At 40.1% G+C, this 19957-nt stretch overlaps 1 protein-coding gene across 32 annotated transcripts in view, besides 3 other annotated features; it reads right to left on the bottom strand.

Moving 5' to 3' along the window:
* MAST2 (microtubule associated serine/threonine kinase 2) overlaps positions 1 to 19957 on the bottom strand; it is a 232511-nt gene that overhangs the window by 89227 nt on the left and 123327 nt on the right. The window contains exon 3 of one of the 32 annotated variants that reach the window (NM_001324321.2): positions 14623 to 14673. The exons of the other annotated variants lie outside the window; for them this stretch is intronic. Within the exon in view, the coding sequence (NP_001311250.1) occupies positions 14623 to 14639 (17 nt within the window). The 5' untranslated portion in view covers positions 14640 to 14673. The remainder of the gene's footprint in view (positions 1 to 14622; positions 14674 to 19957) is intronic. 32 annotated transcript variants of the gene reach the window in all.
* Positions 4908 to 5407: an enhancer, noted in NCBI's record as "H3K4me1 hESC enhancer chr1:46407161-46407660 (GRCh37/hg19 assembly coordinates)". NCBI's record gives its function as "activates a minimal SCP1, AML or CMV promoter by ChIP-STARR-seq in naive H9 embryonic stem cells {active_cell/tissue: H9 hESC(naive)}" and the evidence as "EXISTENCE:reporter gene assay evidence [ECO:0000049][PMID:30033119]".
* Positions 5408 to 5909: an enhancer, noted in NCBI's record as "H3K4me1 hESC enhancer chr1:46406659-46407160 (GRCh37/hg19 assembly coordinates)". NCBI's record gives its function as "activates a minimal SCP1, AML or CMV promoter by ChIP-STARR-seq in naive H9 embryonic stem cells {active_cell/tissue: H9 hESC(naive)}" and the evidence as "EXISTENCE:reporter gene assay evidence [ECO:0000049][PMID:30033119]".
* Positions 19007 to 19700: an enhancer, noted in NCBI's record as "OCT4-NANOG-H3K27ac hESC enhancer chr1:46392868-46393561 (GRCh37/hg19 assembly coordinates)". NCBI's record gives its function as "activates a minimal SCP1, AML or CMV promoter by ChIP-STARR-seq in naive and primed H9 embryonic stem cells {active_cell/tissue: H9 hESC(naive and primed)}" and the evidence as "EXISTENCE:reporter gene assay evidence [ECO:0000049][PMID:30033119]".

Below are 19957 nucleotides of genomic sequence, written 5' to 3'. Positions count from 1 at the left end.
TGACGTAGGCACAAATATTGGGGAGCAGGTCTGCTATGACAGAGACTAAGGAAACAGTATGCTCCCACCAAAGTCTTTAGTCGTGACCACCTTGACTACTATTGTGACTATCAACCCTATATCAGGACACAATAAAGAGAGCGCTATCTTGAGCCAGACAAAAAATAAAGAGGTACAGATTATCTCTACACTGAACAATCCTGAATCCTTTCACTATATCTTATAGCAGAAAAGACCACCAGCAATGCAAAGGAAGCATAATTCAGTCCCAGGCAGATTATACCAGCCAAATCTAAACATCTCTGCTACATGTTCCTGCAACAGTTACAACTTACAGGGAAAAGAAACAAATACAGGTCTAAACCTGGAATGCCAAGCCCAAGATATCATGAATTTAATAGACTAAGAACACTTGGAAGGAATCAAGGGTTTTAAAGAAAAGACATAAAGAGAGGGAGGAAATTGGCCAAATATAAGCCAGTACAATCTTCTGCCCTGGAATAATTTATGTGACGTAGTAGCAAGTTCCCTTCATGACAGGCAACTTGTCTCCATCCCCAGTCTCAAGATGAGGATAGGATTTTCCACCACACCTTAGTAAATCTCCCCACCACCAAGAAAACAAGATAATTCTGTCTTTGATTATTTGCAGTTGACATTCACACAGTTCTAATGGAATCAACCTGGTAAAAGAGATAGGAGAAAAATTTAAAAACCCTAGACTGGGCACTGCCTCAGATTCTGGGTATTCTAGGCATGCCTATATTTCCAGTGTCCAGGACAGTGCCTGATACATGTTTATTATTTGGAGAATTAATGAATGGGAGAGACTGGAGAATTAAGGAAAGGGAGATAATGGTTTTGTAATGTATTCTTAAAGCAGTACATCTCTTGGTAATCAAAGGAAAGCAGCCAGTGAGACTATAGATTTTTTTCTCTGAATGGAGTACACTTCCACTACTGAGGCCATCCACAAACATGGGCCTTGGAACTAGTATAGACTGCCCTGATAACATAGTGTCTGGGAAGTTGTGGTATATTTGGTTTGTCTTTACTAGTTCCCATGGCCTCTGGATTTCTCTGGAAGCTCCAAATTATAAGCCCACTCACAGGTTACATTTCTAGACCAGTAGCTTTGAGAGCTAGTGGTTGACAGGAAATGCAAAATGTCCTGTAATTACTATGTATTTTGGCCCAATACATACATAGTTTAAGTGTTACTAATACATACTTTAATCTGTTACTTAATACACAGTTTAATCTGCTACTAATACAGATTAAACCCATCCTGTATTAGTAACAATCCTTCTTTTCTACCTCCTTCCTCAATAAATTGCCCAGCTGTCTGGCCTGTGCCCAAATTTCCATAGCAGAAAAGATTAGAACACAGTTAGTTTCTACGAGGCAGCCATGGGTAGAGACGCTACATAAGGACCAGGCCCCCCACTTTCAATAGACCAGTATCATCATGGTCATTTTTATGGTTGTTGTTTTATCTTTTTATTATTCTGTTTTTTCTTTTACCCTCAATTTTTTATTTTTTATTTCATTTGTATTATTTGTCACATGCCATGATCAGAAAACACAGTCTTTTTGAGATAGGGTTTCACTCTGTCACCTAGGCTGGATTGCAGTGGTGCAATCTCAGTCCACTATAGACTTGACCTCCCAGGATTAAGTGATCCTCCAACCACAGCCTCCTGAGCAGCTGGGAATAAGTGCACACCACCACACCTGGCTAAATTTTGTTTATTATTTCATAGAGACAAGATCTCACTATGTTGCCCAGGCTGGTTATGAACTGCTGGGCTCAAGTGACCCTCCTGCCTCAGTCTCCCTAAATGCTGGGCATTACAAAGGCTTGTGGCAGGAGCCACCACACCTGGTCCACAGTCATTTTTTAATGACAGCTAATTGCAAGGTTCTATGTCAGGCACTTAAAATACTCAAAAAGGTGCAAGTATACTCAATCCTTGGCCTTCAGAGGCTCATAGCTGAAGAGACTTAGATATGTGAAGAAGAGAACTCACAACATATTTTGGCACAGGCAGTCGTGGCACAGAAGGACAGGAGGCTTCCAAGAGGAAGGCAGAAGATCTGAGGAATTCAGAACCCACAGTAGAGAGAGATACTGGAAATACCATGATGGCAAATAAATATGCAAGGGGACTAGAAAATAATCACTCTGAGTTGGAGGAGAAGACGAGAAGGCTCTAGAAGAAATGTTTCTGGAAGGATGGAGTATGGTGGGGGAGAAGATTAAATTAGGAGATTAAATCATCTAATGTAATATACTGAAAAACATTTTGGAGCTCTGATAGAAAATTTGGGGTGAATAAATGATTGCTACATAGAATATAAAGCAATGCAAAAGTGAGACCATTATTACCCTCAGGAAAACAAAAAGTTGCAAAAGAAAACAGACATAATCATAATGCACAATGACTTTATTAGAAATAATATTAAGTTGTATTAATTTGACACTGAAATAGATAAAAAAATTTAAAGTAGTTGGTTTCAATAAATAAAAATCAAGGATGGTAGGAATGGGGTAAGGGAATTTCAAAATCCCTTTATTAGCTTTAAAGAACTAACAGACTTTTGAAATTATGTCCACATATTTCTTTGACAAAATAAAAATTAAATTTAAAATGTGGGTGGCTTACACGTATGTAAAGAGTACAAGAAAGGAAGTGATATTACCTAGGTAGGAGAATATGATGGCAGTAATTATTGTGCATTTTAGTTGGTACAATCATGGCTCAAATCCAAGCTATAGTGGCATGTTTAAAGAAGACTGTCGCTAGAAAAGAGGTCTTGTCTGAGACCCCAAGAGCAGGTTCTTGGATCTCATGCAGGAAATAATTCAGGGTGTCACAGAGTATAGCGAAGTTTATTAGAGACTTCTCTATTACAGAGCAGGACATCCTCAGAATTCAAGAGGAGGAACACCCCTACCTTAAACATACTGCTTGCTTATATAGGTTGTTAAGGATAGTGTACTTCATTACAAAGGCTTGTGATCAGCTGTGACAGGCTATCAGTAGTGTTATTTCCCTATGTTACTACGGATTTTAGCAAAAATTCATGAGTGCATTATTATCTTTAAAGCAAAACCTATTTTTTATTTATTTATTTATTTATTTTTTGAGACAGAGTTTTGCTCTTGTTGCCCAGGCTGGAGTGCAACGGCATGATCTTGGCTCACGGCAACCTCTGCCTCCCGGGTTCAAGCGATTCTCCTGCCTCAGCCTTCCTGAGTAGCCGGGATTACAGGCACGCGTCACCACGCCCAGCTAATTTTGTATGAAAGCAAAACCTATTCTTAAACTAAGAATGCTTTTTGATCTTCAAGTACTGAAACATTTCATAAGTTTCATAAGCATCTTTTCGTTAGTTAGCATCATTAACTTGTTCCCTCAACCCTAAACATCTTGTGACCAACAGTGTCCAACCCCTTGGGAATGTAACCCAGGAGGTTTGGCTTTATCTGGCCTTTAATCAAGATGGAGTCACTCTAGTCTGGATGCCCCTGACCAAACTATCAGATGATCACATAAATCTCCTGTTCAAAATCCTCCAACTGCTATGGCCAAATAAATAAATAAATATCCAAATTAGTGATGAGCATGACAATCAAGACTCTTCATGGTATAGCCCCCTGCTAATTTGTCCCACCCATCATCATGCCTCCAAGAATCTACCATGCACACACTTTACATCCAGTAGTAAACAAGGCCATACCATTATGTCTCTATTCTCTTGCATATGCTACTGTTTCAACTTAAATACCCTTATCCCAAATGTATACCTAATACATGTTAATTTTTCACTTCTCAGCTCAAATTTCCTTCTCTCTGAAGCCTTCCCTGTGTTCTCCAGGACAGAATTGGGGATTGATTGGCTTCCATACACTGACACTGAATCTTGTATTATTCTTCTAAAGGGGACCAGGAAATGTTATCCTAAAGTATGCCACTTTGGCTAAAGACACTAAGAAGCAACAAACTCTCTGCCTTCCCCCTTTCTGCCTAAAAGTAAGGTATAAATTTCCCTTTTGTAAAAGTAATATAAATTTGCATTTGTAAAGGTGTTCTATCTCATGTACCAGGAAGATTCTTAATCACTGGAGATCATTCTTATCACTAGAGACAGCAGTGACTTGAATCTACATGACAAGTGTTACTAAACCCTTATTTACCAAACATTTCCTAGTCACCTTCACACAATTTACTGCCCCTAGCAGCCCAAGCCTTTGTCTAGTTACTTCACAATTAATCATCCTTTGTTAAAATGGTATATAATACCCCCATAACATGCAATTTACCTATATAACAAACCTGCATATGTACCCCAAACCTAAAAGTTAAAAAATAAATAAAAAATAAATGAAATGGTGTACAAGCACCGAATTCTCAGCACCTCTTTGAGTTACTCATCACTGAGTTTTCCCACATGAATACATGTTGCCAAGTGTAAAACTCTATTATGCATCTCCATGTCCTCATCACCACAGGTAGCTTTACTGAAGAAAACTAAAAAACTTTCAAACAAGTGGTCTTTGTCTTATAAAGTGCTGGAAAATAGAATAAAAGAAAAAGCTGCTTAAGTTAATTTACAACATTACTGTAATTTTGATTCAAAGCCAGATAGCAACAGTCTAAGAAAATTACAGTTCCATATCCTTTATAAACATACATGTTTTAATTCTGTAAAACTTGAGCTGGTTCAGTTAAAAAAAAAAAAAAAGAAACCCACTACAATCAAGCTGGACAGTGATTCTCAAGGTATGGTTGGCAAACCTCTTGGGGTCCCTGAGACTCTTTCAGGAGGACAGCAAAGTCAAAACTATTTTCACAGGAATATTGAGACATCATTTACCTTATTCACTGGGTTGGCATTTGCACTGATGTTATAAAAGCAATGGTGGGTAAAACTTCTCGCACCTTAACAAAAGCAAACCTAAACTGTTCTAGTAGCGAATGTATTACTCTCCAAACACTTCTTCATAATTGTGTTACAATATATTACAAGAATAAAGGACAAAAACTACACAACCATCTCAATAGATGCAGAAGACATATTTGACAACAAGACTGAATGCTTTTCTCCCTAAGAGGAGGAACAAGGCAAGTATGTTGGCTTCTACCACTTCTATTCAACATTGTACTAGAGGTTCTAGCCAGTGCAATAAGGAATAAACAAATAAAAAAACAAAAAACAAATAGGAATAAACAAATAAAAAAGATTGGAAGATAAGTAAAACTGTTATCATTCACACACAAAACAATCCTATATGTAGAAAATCCCAAAGAAATTTTTAAAAAACTATTAAAACGGCCAGGCACGGTAGCTCACGCCTGTAATTCCAGCACTTTGGAAGGCCAAGGTGAGTGGATCACAAGGTCAGAAGTTCAAGACCAGCCTGGCCAAGATGGTGAAACCCCGTCTCTACTAAAAATAGAAAAATTAGCTAGGCGCAGTGGCAGGCGCCTGCAATCCCAGCTACTCGGGAGGCTGAGGAAGGAGAATCACCTGAATCCAGGAGGTGGAGGCTGCAGTGAGCCGAGATCCCGCCACTGCACTCTACCCTGGGTGACAGAGCAAGACTCTGTCAAAACAAACAAAAACAAACAAATAAAAAAACAAAAACACCTAATAAAACTTATATAAATAAGTTTGGTCATGTCACCAAATACATGTGTGAAAAACTGATTATATGAATTGGAGCTATCTTGTCATACCCAAGTAGAATCAAGACAAGAGGAAAAGAAAAGCACTCAGGGCACAAAGCACCAACCCAGAAATTATACTGCAAGCTAGCTGCCAAAATAACCTGCTAAAACCTTAAGACCAGTTTTATCTACCACTGTCATTCACCAATCAGAGCTTGCCAGCTTCTAAAAACTTTGCAAGTACCAATGACTTTTCTTTCAAAACAATATGCAACAATTCTCTTTCTAATAAAATCCTCATAGGCCAGGCGCGGTGGCTCACGCCTGTAATCCCAGCACTTTGGGAGGCTGAGGCGGGCGGATCATGAGGTCAGGAGATCGAGGCCATCCTGGCTAACACGGTGAAACCCCATCTCTACTAAAATACAAAAAAATTAGCAGGGCGTGGTGACAGGTGCCTGTAGTCCCAGCTACTGAGGAGGCTGAGGCAGGAGAATGGCGTGAACCCGGGTGGCGGAGATTGCAGTGAGCCGAGATCGCGCCACTGCACTCCAGCCTGGGCGACAGAGCGAGACTCTGTCTCAAAAAAAAAAAAAAAATCCTCAACCTTCTCTTTGCTCTGTAGACACACTGAAGACTACTCTACTCTGTTTGTATGCCCGAAATTACATTTCTGTTTTCCCAAAGAAAACATTTTGTTTAGAGATTTATCTCTATATTTTTATTTGACTTTGACACAGATAGACAAAAGTCAATGTATTTCTATATTCTAGCAACAAACAACCCAAAAATGAAATTAGGAAGGCAACCCCACTCACAATAGCATTAGAAATATTAAAATACTTAGAAATAAATTTAACAAAAGAAGTATGAGACTTGTATGCTGAAAACTATGAAACACTAAAAGAAAATTTTAAAAAGCTAAATAGGCCGGGCATGGTGACTCATGCCTTTAATCCTAGCACTTTGGGAGGCCGAGGCGGGTGGATCACCTGAAGTCAGGAGTTCGAGACCAGCCTGGCCAACACGGCAAAACCCCATGTCTACTAAAAATACAAAAATTAGCCAGGCGTGGCAGTGGGCACCTATAATCCCAGCTACTCGGGAGGCTCAGGCAGGAGAATCACTTGAACCCGGGGTGGGGGTGGTGTGGATGCTGCAGTGAGCCGAAATTGTGCCACAGCACTCCAGCCTGGGCAAAAGAGCGAAACTCCATCTCAAAAAAAAAAAAAAAAAAAAACCCTAAATAAATAGAGAACTTCCGTTCTTGGATTAGAACTCAGTGTTGTTGAGATGGCAATTCTCCCTCAAACTGATGTATAAATTCAAAGTAATCATTATCAAAATGCCAGCAAGGTCTTTTGTAGAAATTGAAAAATTGGGCCAGGCACGGTGGCTCACACCTGTAATCCCAGCACTCTGGGAGGCCAAGGTGGGCAGATCACGAGGTCAGGAGTTTGAGACCAGCCTGGCCAACATGGTGAAACTCCGTTTCTAGGAAAAATACAAAAAAATTAGCCAGGTGTGGTGGTGCATGCCTGTAGTCCCACTGCTTGGGAGGCTGAGGCACAAGAATCACTTGAATCCAGGAGGCAGAGGTTACAGTGAGCTGAGATCGCGCTATTGCACTCCAGCCTGGGCTACCAAGCAAGACTGTCCCCTGCGACCCCACCCCCCCAAAAAAAAATTGAAAAATTGATCCTCATACTTATATAGCAACACAAAGCACCCAAAACACATAAAATAATTTTGAAAAAGAACAAAGTTGGAGGAATTATACCACCTGATTTCAAAACTTAGTATAAAGCCACATTAAACAAAGATAGTGTGGAATTAGCACAAGGATAGGCATATAGATTAATGGAAGGCAAGAGAGAGTCCAGAAATAAACTGTTAACACTTGTGGTCAATTGACTTCAACAAAGGTGTCAAGAGGATTCAATAGTAGAAGGATACCCTTTCCAGCGAATTCTGCTAGAAAAATTGGACAGTCACACACACACATTTGACCTCATACCATACATAAATATTAACTCAAATGGATCATAAACCTAAATTTAGGAGTAGAAAATGTAAAACTTCTGGAAGAAAATGGAAAAAAAAAACAGCTTGGGTTAGGCAAGTAAGTTCTTAGATACCAAAAGCATGATCAATAAAAAATAAAAAATTATCAATTTTTGCATTTCAAACGACACCATCCAAATACATGGAAAGAACCACCATAGACAGGGAGAAAATAATTGCAAATCATATAGCTAATAAAGGGCTTGTATCTAGAACATACAAAGAACTCAAGGCTCAATATTTAAAAAAAAAACGAACAGATTTTTTAAATGAACAAAAATATTTGATCAGACATTCCACCAAAAAAGATATACAAATGGCTAACAATGAGATAAGATGCTCAGATCATTACCCATTAGGGAAATGTAAATTAAAACCACAGTGATATACTACACACCACTAGAATGGTTAAAATCAAGAAGAGAGAGTAATTAGTGCTGGTGAGAATGTTAAAAAATAAACTCTGTGAATGTGAAATGATGCAGTCCACTGCAGAAAACAGTTTGGTGTTTTTTAAAAAGGTAAACATAGTTTGGGCGCAGTGGCTGACACCTGTAATCTTGGCACTTTGGGAGGCCAAGACAGGAGAATCACTTGAGCCCAGGAGTTCAAGACCAGTGTAGGCAACATGGTGAGACCTCATCTCTACAAATAAAAAAATAATAATTAGCTGGGTATGGTGGTGTGCACCTGTGGTCCCAGTCACTTGGGAGGCTGAGGCAGGAGGATTCCCTGAGCCCAGGAGATTGAGGCTGCAATGAGCCATGATCACACCACCACACTCCAACCTGGATGACAGAGTGAGACTCCATCTCCAAGAAAAAAGAAAAGTAAACATAAACTTACCATACAACACAATTCTCTGACTCCCAAAAGAAATAAAAACATATGTCCACACAAAGATATGCATGGAAATGTACACAGCACCATTAATGTGATACTCCCAAACTGCAAACAATATAAATGTCCATCAACTGGTGAATGGACTAACAAAATATGGTCTATCCAATAATAAAACATTATTCAACAATAGAAAGGAATGAATATGCTACATGTATAAAGTTCAAAAACATTATGTTAAGTGAAAGAAACCAGAAACAAAAAACTACATTTAGCAGCACATAATACAGAACCAAAAAGCAGATGAGTTATTGCTTAGAGCTAGGAATTAGAAGAGTAGGATTAACTACAGGTGGGTACAAGTAAACTTTCTGAGTGACAGAAGTGTTCTAAATTTGGATTATGGTGACAATACATAATTATATAAATTTAGTAAAAACCATTGAATCCCTTACACTGAAGAGATTACAATAGGCAATTAAATTTAGTAAAAAACCATTGAATCGCTTACGTTGAATTGCTTACAATGGGTAATTTTTTTTTTTTTTTTTTTTTTTTTTTTTTTGAGATGGAGTTTCACTCTGTCTCCCAGGCTGGAGTACAGTGGTGTGATCTCGGCTCACTGCAACCTCCACCTCCCGGGTTCAAGTGATTTTCCTGACTCAGCCTCCCAAGTAGCTGGGATTACAGGCACGCGACACTACACCCGGCTAATTTTTTTGTATTTTTAGTAGAGACGGGGCTTCACCACGTTGGCCAGGCTGGTCTCGAACCCCTGACCTGAGGTGATCCACCTGCCTCGGCCTCCCAAAGTGCTAGGATTACAGGCGTAAGCCACCGTACCCAACCACAATGGGCATATTTTATACTTTGTAAATTTTGTCTCAGCCAGGCATGGTGGCACACTCCTGTAGTCCTTGCTACTTGGGAAGCTGAGGTGGGAGGATCGCTTGGGCCCAGGAGTTTGAGATCAGCCTGAGCAACAGAGAGATCCCATTTCTAGAAAAAAAAAGTAATGAACAAGCAAGTAAATAAATAAAATTTTAAAATGAAAATAAAAGTGACTGTAATTAAAAAAAAAAGCTGCCCATGGTGGTGCATGCCTTTAGTCTCAGCTACTCAGGAGGCTGAAGTGGAAGGATCACTTGAGCCCAGGGGTTTAGGATCACCCTGGGCAACGTAGTGAGATCTCATTTCTAGAAAGAAAATAAATAAACAAACAAATAATATTAGAATAAATAAAAACAAAAGTGACTGGAGAAAAAAAAAAAAAAGCCCAGGCATGGTGGTATAATGCCTTTAGATCCAGCTACTCAGGAGGCCAGGTGGAAGGACTGCTTGAGCCTAGGAGTTTGAGGCCAGCCTGGACAACAAAGAGAGGACTCATCTCTAAAAAATAAAGAAACTTAAAAAAACTCAAGTCAGATGTTTCAAAATGTGCAGGCCCCTGAGACTGAATCTGAGGTACTTAGGGGGCTTTAGAATCCTCCTTCCTCTCCTTCTTTCCTGAATAATTCAGTCTAGAGGCCACAAGATGATGATGATGATGGTGGCCATGTGGCTGGGTTGGGGTTGAGGTACCTGGCCTGGGATGTCAGAGACTGATGGGGATAAGGAAGTTGTCTGCTTGAAGAGAACAGTGGTGCCAGTCTTTCATGGGGTATTGGAGACCCAGTGAAGTGAGAAGGGCATACACACAGAAGGCTGGTGGTTACAAAAGGAGATTAGTTACACAGAGGAAAAAATGATCAGACAATCAAGTACCTCAACAAACTAAGCATCAAAGGAACATACCTCAAAATAATAAGAGCCGTCTATGACAAACCTGCAGGTAACATCATGCTGGGCAAAAAACACGGTCCCCTTGAGAACTGGAACAAAACAAGAATGCCCACTCTCACCACTCCTATTCCACATAGGAAGTCCTAGCCAGAGCAATTAGGCAAGAGAAAGAAACAAAAGGCAAACTCTCTCTCTTCACAGACAATTACCATTCTATATACCTAGAAAACCCCACAGCCTCTGCCCAAAGGTTCCTAGATCTGATAAACTTCAGCAAAGTTTCAGGATACAAAATCAACATACAAAAATCAGTAGTGATTCTACACTCCAATGACGTCCAAGCTGAGGGTCAAATCCAGAATGAAATCCCAATGACAATAACCACATAACGAATAAAATACCTAAGAATATGGCTAAAGAGGGAGGTGAAAGATCTCTACAACAAGAATTAAAAAACACTGCTGAAAGAAGTCAGAAATGACACAAACAAATGGGAAACTATGCCATGCTCACAGATAGGAAGAATTAATATTGTTAAAATGGCCATACAGCCCAAAGCAATTTACAGATTCAATGTTATTCCTCTCAAACTACCAACGACGTTTTTCACAGAGTTAGAGAAAACTATTCTAAAAATCATATGGGACCAAAAAAGAGCCCAAATAGCCAAGGCAATCTGAAGCAGAAGCAAAAAGAACAATTCCAGAGGCATTATACTACCTAATTTCAAACTATACCACAAGGCTACAGTAACCAAAACAGCATAGTACTGGTACAAAACCAGACAAACAGACCAATAGAAAAGGTTAGAGAATCCAGAAACAAAGCCACACATCTACAACCTTCTGATCTTTGACAAAGTGGACAAAAGCAATGCAAAAAGGAATCCCTATTCAATAAATGGTGCTGGGATAACTGGCTAGCCGTATGCAGAATGTTGAAACTAGACCCCTTCCTTTCACCATATACAAAAATCAACTCAAGATGATCAAAGGCTTACAGGTAAAACCTAAAACTATAACAACCCTAGTAGAAACCCTAAAATATACCACTCTGGACATAGGCCCTGGAAGACTTCATGATGAAGACACCAAAAGCAATTGCAACAGAAACAAAAATTGACAAATGGGACCTAATTAGACTAAAGAGCTTCTGCACAGCAAAATAAATTATCAACAGAGTAAACAGACAACCTAGAGAATGGGAGAAAATATTTGCAAAATATACATCTGACAAAGGTCTAATATCCAGAATCTACAAAAAACCTTAACTGAACAAGCAAAAAACAAATAACCCCATTAAAAAATAGGCAAAAGACATGAACAGACACTCCTCAGAAGACACACAAGCAGCCAACAAACACGACAACATGCTCCACATCGCTAATCATCTGAGAAATGCAAATCAAAACCACAAGGAGATACCATTTTACACTAACCAGAATGGTTATTAATAAAAAGCCAAAAAATAATGGATGCTGGCGAGACTGCAGACAAAAGGAAATTCTTGTACATTATTGGTGGAATTGTAAATTAGTTCAGCCTCTGTGGAAAGCAGTTTGGAGATTTCTCAAAGAACTAAAAGTAGAATTACCTTTCAACCCAGCAACCCCATCATTGGAAATATGCCCAAAGGAAAATAAGTCGTTCTATCAAAAAGACATATGCACTCACATGTTCATCACAGCACTATTCACTATAGCAAAGACACGGAATCAAATTAGGTGCCCATCAACAGAGGACTGAATAAAGAAAATATGGTACATATACACATACCACAGAATACTACAGAGCCATTAAAAAGAATGAAATTGGCCGGGCACAGTTGCTCACTCCTGTAATCCCAGCACTTTGGTAGGCCAAGACAGGTGGATCACTTGAGGCAGAGTTTGAGACCAGCCTGGCCAACATGGTGAAACCTCTTCTCTACTAAAATACAAAAAGTAGTCGGGTGTGGTGGCACACACCTGTGATCCCAGCTACTTGGGAAGCTGAAGCATGAGAATCACTTGAACCCAGAAGGCAGGGGTTGCAGTGAGCTGAGATCATGCCACTGCACTCAAGCCTAGGCAACAGAGCTGGAGTGCAGTGGCACAATCTCAGCTCACTGCAAGCTCTGCGTCCTGGGTTCAGGCCATTCTCCTGCCTCAGCCTCCCGAGTAGCTGGAAATACAGGCACCTGCCACCAAGCCCGGCTAATTTTTTTGTAATTTTTAGTAGAGACGGGGTTTCACCGTGTTAGCTAGGGTGGTCTCGATCTCCTGACCTCATGATCCGCCCACCGGAAATTATGTTCTTTACAGCAACATGGATGCAGCTAGAGGCCACCATCCTAAGTGAATTAATGCAGGAACAGAAAACCAATTACTCCATGTTCTCACCTATAAGTGGGAGCTAAACACTGAATATACATGGACACAAGGAAGGGAATAATAGACACCAAGGCCTACATCAGGGTGGAGGGTGGGAGGAGGGAGAGAACTGAAAAACTACCTATTGGGCACTACGTTCATTACATGAGTGACAAAATAATCTGTACACCAAATCCCCACAACACACAATTTACCCATGTAACATATCTGCACAATACCCCCTGACCCTAAAGCTAAAGTTGGGGAAAAAAAAAAAAACTTAAAATTTTTCATTAAAGTAGAAGGATACAATATTTTGTTTACTAAAACAAATTGAGGAAAATAAACTAGTAATTAGAGACTAGAAAAAAATAAGTAAATATATCAAGGGTAATGGGGGGTCAGAGTTCTCACTTTCTCTTTTTTTTTGAGACTGAGTTTTTGCTCTTGTTGCCCAGGCTAGAGTGCAATGGCACGATCTTGGCTCACTGCAACCTCCGCCTCCCAGGTTCAAGCAATTCTCCTGCCTCAGCCTCCCGAGTAGCTGGGATTACAGGTGCCCACCACCATGCCCAGCTAATTTTTTTTTTTTTTTTTTTGCATTTTTAGTAGAGACGGGTTTTCACCATGTCAGCCAGGCTGGTCTCAAACTCCTGACCTCAGATGACCTACCTGCCTTGGCTTCCCAAAGTGCTAGGATTAAAGGCGTGAGCCACCGTGCCCGGCCAGAGTTCTCACTTTCAAAGAAGGAAGTTACAAATATAAAAACAAAAACTAGAACCAAACTAGAATTAGAAGTGGAGGTATCAGTGTGAGCTTATAGTTTTCAATAACAGAAATTAAGAAATAAATACATGTGTGTTACATGTATACATTTCCCGGGAGCAGTGAACCTAAGTATGGGCAACCATGTCTACCATCAACATTTGCCCCCCCCAACCCCCCCGCTTTTTTTTTTTAAAGAGACAGGGTCTTGCTCTGTTGCCCAGGCTGGAGTACAGTGATGTGATCATAACTCACTGCAACCTTGAACTCCTGGGCTTAAATGATCCTCCTGAGTAGCTGGGACTACAGGCATGTGCCACCACACTTGGCCTTTTTTTTTTTTTTTTTTTTTTTTTAAAGAAATGGGGTCTCACTAAGTTGCTCAGGCTGGTCTTGAACTCCTCAGCCCCCTAAAGTGCTGGGATTATACCATGCCTGATTCATATTTTGGCTTTTAAAAAGCATTCTCCACTAAAAAGAACTATGCTGCCTAGAGAAAAAGCTCAAGGGCTAGTGAGGGTACAAAATAAGCCAGCCAGGAATATCTTCTCAGGGCAGAAAGTTACGTAGTTCTCAAAGAATGACAGAGACATCAAAAAGACACAAAAGTCAGCCTGAAGAAACTTCCCTTGACCAGATATGATACAATTTTGAGCATCAAAACTAAAATGGTATTAACAGATTATATAACCCATCAAATAAGACAAATCCACTAAATTTTTTTTGGAGTGGGGAGGGGGCAGTTGAAAGACAGAGTCTCACTCTGTCTCCCAGGCCAGAGTGCAGTGGTGCGATCTTGGCTCACTACAACCTCCGCCTCCTGGGTTCAAGCGATTCTCGTGCCTCAGCCTCCCATGTAGCTGGGATTACAGGCGTGAGCCACCACGCCTGGCTAGTTTTGCATTTTTAGTACAGACAGGGTTTCACCACGTTGGCCAGGCTGGTCTTGAACTCCTGACCTCAAGTGATCCACCCACCTCAAAGTGCTGGGATTACAGGTGTGAGCCACAGCGCCCAGTCAAAAGTCCACTGAATTTATACAGTATAATAAAGTAAGTGAAAAATGAATAGGGAGAGGTGAAAGCTTTTGCTATGGTGAAATGCCAACTGATGGGTATAGAAAGAATTATGAAATTGTAAAAATACCATTTGGTGACCAGCATAGTATAATAATGCAACCAGGAACATCAATGGATCCTAAAAACAGAGGGTTAAAATTTGATGAGGAATGGGGTACTTACATAATTTTAAGAACATTCCCATAAAATACTTATTAATTACAAAGGGAAAAAAAGAGTAACTTCACAGCAGCAAAACTTTACAGCAGCAAAACACCACGTTAATAAAGTGATCAAGGTTAACTTCATAGTAATGGGACAAAACGAAAGCCTGTATCACCTAACAGGACACAATGAGAAGAACACAACATTGCTGGGTGCAGTAGCTCACGCCTGTAATCCCAGCCCTTTGGGAGGCCGAGGCAGGAGGATTACCTGAACCCAGGAGTTCAAGACCAGCCTAGGCAACACAGCAAGACCCTGTCTCTAAAAAAATTTTTTAAAACTTAGCCAGGCATGGTAGTGTATGCCTGTATTTCCAGCTACTCTCCTCAAGAGGCTGGGGTGGGACTGGGCATGGTGGCTCACACCTGTAATCCCAGCACTTTGGGAGGCTGAGGTGGGCGGATCACCTGAGGTCAGGAGTTCGAGACTAGTTTCACCAATATGGTGAAGTCCTGTCTCTACTAAAAAAAAACACAAAAATTAGCCAGGTGTGGTGGCGGGCGCCTGTAGTCCCAGCTACTCAGGATGCTGAGACAGGAGAATCGCTTGAACCCGGGAGGTGGAGGTTGCAGTGAGCCCAGATCATGCCACTGCACTCCAGCCTGGGTGACAGAGCGAGACACTCTCAAAAAAACAAAAACAACAAAAGAGGCTGGGGTGGGAAGATCACTTGAGCCCAGGAGGTAGTGACTGTGCCACTGCATTCCAGCCTGGGCAACAGAGCAAGACTCTATCTCAAAAAAAAAAAAAAAAAAAAAACAGAACACAATACCACCTTTTTGTGATATTTCTGCCAAAGGTTCATAACCTGATTCTAATCCTGAGGAAATAACAGACAAATTCAAATTAAAGGACATCCTATCAAATAAACTGGTCTGTAATCTTCAAAAGTATTGAGGTTATAAAAGTTGAGGAAATAACTACAAAACTGCATCAGATTAAAGGAGATAGAAGACGAATAACAGTAAAATTCTAACACATGATCCTGGATCGGAGCCTTCTGTTACAAAGGATATTACTGGGACATTTGGTGAAATATGAATTAAACTTGTAGATTAGATGGTAATATTTATTAATGTTAATTTTCTGATTTTAATGGCTGTACTGTTATGAAAATGTCTCTGTAGGAAGTATACACTAAAGTGTTCAGGGCTGATGAGATAACATATCAGGAGCTAATTCAGTATGGGTTAGGACAAGGGCTGTCAAACTTTTTCTGTAAAGGCCAGATAATAAGTATTTTAGGCTTTGCAGGTCACATGTGGTCTCTGTCACATATTCCTTGTTTTTTGTAAATATCCCTTAAAAAATGTAAACTTCATTATTAGCTTGTGGCTTGTATAAACACAGCCCACAGGTCACATTTGGTTCATGGGGTTTATTTTGCTGACCCCTGGTTTGGGGGGTGAAAAGCTCTTTGAACTATTCTTGGAATTTTGACATTAAAAAAATATTTCTGCTAACATCCAGAGAAATCACTTGAAAAGTTCTGGGAATGACTGAATAGGGGTGAATAAGGCTGAAAGCTTATGAAATAAAAAGCATCCCTTTTACTCTACCCCGTGCTGCGAAGTGTTCTATTGCCTATGTGGGCATCTTCTCCTGCTCAGAGGGCCTAGTATGCAGTTGAATGTATGAATGAATGAATGAATGAATGCATCTATCTCAATTTCCCAGGACAGGAAACTGATTCCCTTCACATAAGATAAACAAAACAAAACAAAACAAAACAAAACAAAACAAAAAAAACAAAAAACAGGCCAGGCGCGGTGGCTCACATCTGTAATCCCAGCACTTTGGGAGGCCAAGGCGGGTAGATCATGAGGTCAGGAGTTCAAGATCAGCCTGGCCAAGATGGTGAAACCCCGTCTCTACTAAAAATACAAAAAAAATTAGCCAGGCGTGGTGGTGGGTGCCTGTAATCTCAGCTACTGGGGAGACTGAGGCAGAGAATTGCTTAAACCTGGAGGCGGAGGATGCAGTGAGCTGAGATCGCGCACTCCAGCCTGGGCGACAGAGAAATTCCATCCCCCCTCAAAACAAACTTCATCCTTTAGGAATATTTTAATATGACTTTTTACTTGGCTACATTGAGATACCATTTTTTAGCTCTCAGATTAGCAAAAATTCAAAAGCTTGACAATCATATTGTTGGCAAGGCTGTGTGCAAATAGACATTATCTTAAACTGCTGATGGAAATGTAAAATAGTATAACCATAGACTGTGAAGGGAAACTGGACAATATCTAATAAAACTACATATACATTTAATTTTTGACTCAGCTATCCCAGTTCTAGTAATTTATCCTGAAGATAGCCCTCCAAAAAAAAAAATCCATCTATTTACACACACATATGTATATATTAACAAACAAAGCCATGAAAATTAATTCTTCTGTGTCAAGGATCTATTATTGTAAATTAATCGTTTCTCTGACTACTCCAGTATGCTAGTTTCTTAACAGCAGGACTCTCTAGCCCTAAGCCCATCCTATCTACCAAAATGAGGCCATCAGGATCAGCAATGGCTCCTCCTCTTGTGGCATCTAGGGACATGAAAGAAAAGCTGCTGCCTTCTAGATGCATTCTCACCTCTCAGAGTCCCAGAGTCTACATAACAAGCATGACTACTACAGATAATTCCTCTTTCTACGTGGGCCAGAAGAGGAAGCCAAGGTTTTCCTCAGCTGAGCAATCAGTTAGCTATGTAAATGGCAAACTCCAAGGGGCTTCACCACCAACAACTCCCCCCCTGCTGCTCTGGGCAAACAATCTTCACAACGAAGCAGTAATAAGCAGGTATGAAACACTGACCAAGGAACTGAGGACACTCAGGCTTTAGGCTGAAGACTCAGGAAAGAGTCTAAGCTGAGTCAATGCGAATAAGGGTAATTATCTGTACTTCAGGGTAAAAAAAAACAGATAATGAGGAGAAAATTCTTTTGTGTAAGTACTGTAGTTAATAAAGGGAAGGAGAATCATCTTTTGCAAACTCCTAAGAAAATAATGAATCTAGGTGATAATTATCAATGGCCACTACTAACAAAACAAGGGAGAGACTTGACATTACCCGCCTCCTGACAGATATACACTGAACCAACTGTTAAGTATTCTTCCCACCCCCTCAACCCAACCAAACCACAATCAGGTCAAGCCCCCAGTTTATAGGAAATACAGAGCTCATAAGAACATGTCAGAAAAAAACCTCTGAAGGATGCAATCAGCAAAATCCAGAATGTGGGAAAGTCTACAAGAACAAACAACTCGGTTTCTGCAACAAATAAATTGCAAGGAAAAAAAAAAAGGTGAGAACACCCTAGATTAAAATAAACTTTGCAGTACAGCCTGGGCAACACGGCAAGACCCTATCTCTACAAAAAATAGAAAAAATTAGCCAGGCTTCTGGTGCATGTCTGTAGTCCCAACTACTTGGGAGGCTGAGGTTGGAGGATTGTTTGAGCCTGGAGTTCAAGGTTGCAGTGAGCTGTGATTGTGCCACTGCACTCCAGCCTGGGCAATAGAGAGAGACTCTGTCTCAAAAGGAAAAAAAGAAAAGAAAAAAAAAAAAAGAAAGAGTGATCAGACATCCCAATTATTTTATTTAACAGGTTTATGTCTGTTGTCCCAGTAATATTAACAATCCTCTTTCATTATATAAAATTTCCTAGTTTAGACACTAAATTGTATCACCACCCTACTTAAGAGATGTATTAACCAAATACACTGTGCTGACATAGTTTGGCTACTGATTCCAAAAAACCAACTGCAAAAAAAATTTGAACATAAACTGGATATTTGATTACATTGATAAACTATTGTTTTAGGTGTGGTAATAATACTGTGATTACATTTTTCAGGAGTCCTTACATTTAGAGATACAAATATGTATAGATGAAATGACATAAAATTTGAGATTTGCTTCAAAATAAGCAAGAGAGACAGAGAAAGAAAATAGGTGGGGATGTAGATGAGATAGTATACCATGAGCTGACAATGTAGACGATACTGGGGATGTAGTATGAGTCTTTCTACTTTTGAACATTTTTGAGATTTTTCCATAACACAATGTAAAATTTAGTAAATAAAATTTTCCTAGTTCTAGAAACAGAAGTATCCTAGAAAGCTTCAGCTTCCTGCTCTTAGGCAAGTATTGCAGGAAGTCAGGGACCCCAAACAGAGGGACCGGCTGAAGCCATGGCAGAAGAACATGGATTGTGAAGATTTTATGGACATTTATTAGTTCCCCAAATTAATACTTTTGTAATTTCTTATGCCTGTCTTTACTGCAATCTCTAAACATAAATTGTAAAGATTTCATGGACACTTATCACTTCCCCAATCAATACCCCTGTGCTTTCCTATGCCTGTCTTTATACTTTAATCTCTTAATCCTGTCAGCTGAAAAGGATGCATGTCGCTTCAGGACCATGTGATAACTGTGTTAACTGCACAAATTATACAGCATGTGTTTGAGCAATATGAAATCTGAGCACCTTGAAAAAAGAACAGGATAACAGCAATTGTTCAGGGAATAAGAGAGAGAACCTTAAACTCTGACCGCCGGTGAGTCAGGCAGAACAGAGCCGTATTTCTCTTCTTTCAAAAGCAAATGGGAGAAATATCGCTGAATTCTTATTCTCAGCATGGAACGTCCCTGAGAAAGAGAATACGCGCCTGGAGGTATTGGCTTATAAACAGCCCCCCTGGGCGTGGCCTGTCTCTTATGGTTGAGGCTGCAGGGGTGAAATAGACCCCAGTCTCCCATAGCGCTCCCAGGCTTATTAGGAAGAGGAAATTCCCGCCTAATAAATTGTGGTCAGACCGGTTGATCTCAAAACTCTATCTCCTGATAAGATGTTATCAATGACAATAGTGCCCGAAATTTCATTAGCAATTTTAATTTCGCCTCGGTCCTGTGGTCCTGTGATCTCGCCCTGCCTCCACTTGCCTTGTGATATTCTATTACCCTGTTAAGTACTTGATGTCTGTCACCCACACCTATTCGCACACTCCCTCCCCTTTTGAAAATCCCTAATAAAAACTTGCTGGTTTTTGTGGCTTGTGGGGCATCACGGATCCTACCAACGTGTGATGTCTCCCCCGGACACCCAGCTTTAAAATTTCTCTCTTTTGTACTCTGTCCCTTTATTTCTCAAGCCAGCCGACGCTTAGGAAAAATATAAAAGAACCTACATGAT

Source organism: Homo sapiens, chromosome 1 (genome assembly GCF_000001405.40).
Source record: "Homo sapiens chromosome 1, GRCh38.p14 Primary Assembly".
NCBI classification, from domain to species: domain Eukaryota; kingdom Metazoa; phylum Chordata; class Mammalia; order Primates; family Hominidae; genus Homo; species Homo sapiens.
Note: the sequence above shows the minus strand (reverse complement) of the source record. Positions and strands in the feature narration are given on the sequence as shown.